This window comes from Homo sapiens, chromosome 17 (assembly GCF_000001405.40).
Source record: "Homo sapiens chromosome 17, GRCh38.p14 Primary Assembly".
In the NCBI taxonomy this organism is placed as follows: Eukaryota; Metazoa; Chordata; class Mammalia; order Primates; family Hominidae; genus Homo; species Homo sapiens.
The window spans coordinates 71,071,228-71,074,136 of record NC_000017.11 but is presented as its reverse complement, the minus strand read 5'-3'; the positions used below and the strand labels follow the sequence as shown (position 1 = coordinate 71,074,136).

The window sequence follows — 2,909 nt, the reverse complement described above, 5'->3', positions numbered from 1 at the left end:
AACAGGATGAGACATCTCACGCTTGTAATCCCAGCCCTTTGGGAGGTTGAAGCAGGAGGATCGCTTGAGCCCAGGAGTCCAAGACCAATCTGGGAAACATAGGGAAATTCTGTATCTACAGATCATTTAAAAATTAGCTGGGTGTGGTGGTGTGTATCTGTGGTCTCAGCTACTCAGGAGGTTGAGGTTGGAGGATCAGTTGGGCCCAGGGGATTGAGGCTGCAGTGAGACATGTTCATGCCACTACACTCCAGCCTGGGTGACAGAACAAGACTCTGTCTCAAAAAAAAAAAAAAAAAAAGGCAAAACAGAACAAAGTGTAATCTTAAAGTACTGGGTAGCTCGGCTATCAGCAAATTATGCCTAGTCATAAAAAGGTGGGTATTGACTATTCATTTAACCAACAATCTTGGGAACAGGAGGGAAGGAGAGAAGAGACATGCCTGTTGAGGAATGCGTGCCAGAGTTAATTCTTTGTCAGCTCTAGAAGAAAGTGGAAATATAATGCATAAAGTTAAAAAAAAGATAGACATAGAAGCATTTTCTTTAGAAATATAAAGATCAATACCATTAGAAACAGCTAAAGTGGCTGCATCTGTTGAGTAGGAATTAAAGGTGAGGACAAGCGGGGCAAGAAACAGCTGTTTTTCATTATAATCTTTTAGTACTATTCAACTTTTAAAAACTTTTTATTGTGAATTATAACATACACACAGAAAGCTGCATAAAACACATTTGGACAGTTTAACAATATAATAAATGTCTGTGCAACCACCACCCAGGTCAAAAAGTAGAACATTGCCAGCCCCTGAAAGCACCCTCAACCCCTAAACCATCTACTCTCTCTGAGCAAAACCTCCTCCTAACCTTTAAAGCTGATATTAATATGACTTCTGTAATAATAATTTTTGCATTTATTTATATTTTTATCACTTACGTATGCATCCCTCAATGATATAGGTTAGCTTTTTGTGGTTTTGACTTTGAATTTTTGAGTGTGCATAGACTTTACTTAAATAAAATTTTAAATTTTTAATGCAATATTTTGCTCCTATGAGTACGAGAACCACCTCCACTATAAAGAATTATTGAGTACACTGGCTTTCCCACATTGATATTTTCATATGAAAAAGGTATTATTACTCATTTCTCCCAGACGCTTGTAAATGTACCTTTACCTTGGAACTGTAAGAAATGGCCACAGATCTACACAAGGAGTATTTATATTTCCACAGCATTAATGACCAAGGCATGTTTTTAATATTGTATATGTAAAGCTGTGCTAAAATACAGTTTTAACAATAATTTCAATGAGCCATACATCATTAAAAGGAAAAGAAGACTCTATGACTTGAAGAAAGAATAATGACTAAGACAGGTCACTTAATAAAAAAAAAAGAATAGCATTTAATATTTAGGTCCATACCATAAATCTGGTATTATAAAACAGTGGTTTCCTCCCAGAGCAAGTATCAGAGTTGACTTTGTCCATTTGAAAGCAATTCCCGTAAATGCCATCCTCTTCACCATAGAAAGTAAATTAGAATGTCGGATATGGAGAAGTGGTAATAAGCATAGATATTCTAACAAACAAATAATAGATAATATCCACAGGAATATCAACAGACTTTTCAGCCCATCTTATTCTAATGTATTCATTCCTCATCTTAATATGCTATCCCAGAGCAGAAGTGTGTTACTGATTTAGGAGCGGAAAAAGACACTCCCAACATCTTGCTCTACCCCTGGCTTCTTTTCCTATCTTTTTCTGACTTGCTGAATGCCTCAACTGTGTAAACTGAAAGTTTCTCATTTCAGACTTGGTGGAATCTGCTCACTCCATTTCCGACTCTGGCCCTCTTACCTGCACTGGGCTTCAGTGGCTTTGTATTATAAGGTGAACTACTTCATTGCTACCACTTCTCCACCTAGCCAAAATGTGTTCATTGGAACGTATTCTGGACCGTGGAACAAAATGTAACAGGACATAGTACTGCCATTAGTGGAGGCCAGAGATGTAGAGAAAGAGCCAGCTTGGCTGCGTCAAGGGTGAGTCCTCTTACTGTGGCCAGGGAGGAGCTTTGTCTCGCGGTCAGAGCACAGACTGGGAGCCATGACTCACGGAGTTAGTTCCTGACTCCCCTCTGACTCACTTCATGACGTTGAACGAGTCCCTCTAGGAGTTAGTTCCTGACTCCCCTCTGACTCACTTCATGACGTTGAACGAGTCCCTCTACCTTCTGGGTCTCACTGGCCCCATTTCCTCCAGTTCTTCTGGTCTCCCTGAGATTGCAGACATTTGTATTAATTTACAATTGTGCTAAATACAGTTTTAACAATAATTTCAATGAGCCATACATCATTAAAAGGAAAAGAAGAGTCTATGACTTGAAGAAAGAATAATGACGAAGACAGGTCACTTGATTAAAAAAAAAAAAAGAATAGCATTTAATATTTAGGTCCACACCACAAATCTGGTATTTTAAAACAGTGGTTTCCTCCTAGAGCAAGTATCAGAGTTGACTTTGTCTATTTGAAAGCAATTCCTGTAAATACCATCCTCTTCACCCATAGAGAGTAAATTAGAATGTCGGACAATTGTATTAAATTAAACCCTTCAGGAGAGCCATTTCAGAAGAAATATTGGTTCTGAGAATCAAGGGAGTTATTTGAGTCAGGGTGTGGAAATAGAGATACTAAATGACTACTAACCTGTGTGTGTTTGCTAGTTTTTCTTTTTGCTTTTTGAGGTCTACCTAATTTACTTCCGCCGGTCAGTGCTACTTAAGGCTACTTGGTGACTTTCACTTAAGGCACATTGTTGATTAAGTTGTACCTGCAGGCTGGCCGGATACCTCCGTGACCATCTCATTGCCTATCAAAAAAGGATCAAGCTGAGATTCAAGGCC

General features: G+C 38.7%; 1 annotated feature.

The window, feature by feature from the left end:
• Positions 1,501–2,700: an enhancer, noted in NCBI's record as "P300/CBP strongly-dependent group 1 enhancer chr17:69067578-69068777 (GRCh37/hg19 assembly coordinates)". NCBI's record gives its function as "activates an origin of replication core promoter dependent on BRD2, BRD4, P300/CBP, MED14 and CDK7 cofactors, with strong dependence on P300/CBP, by STARR-seq in HCT116 cells {active_cell/tissue: HCT116}" and the evidence as "EXISTENCE:reporter gene assay evidence [ECO:0000049][PMID:35650434]".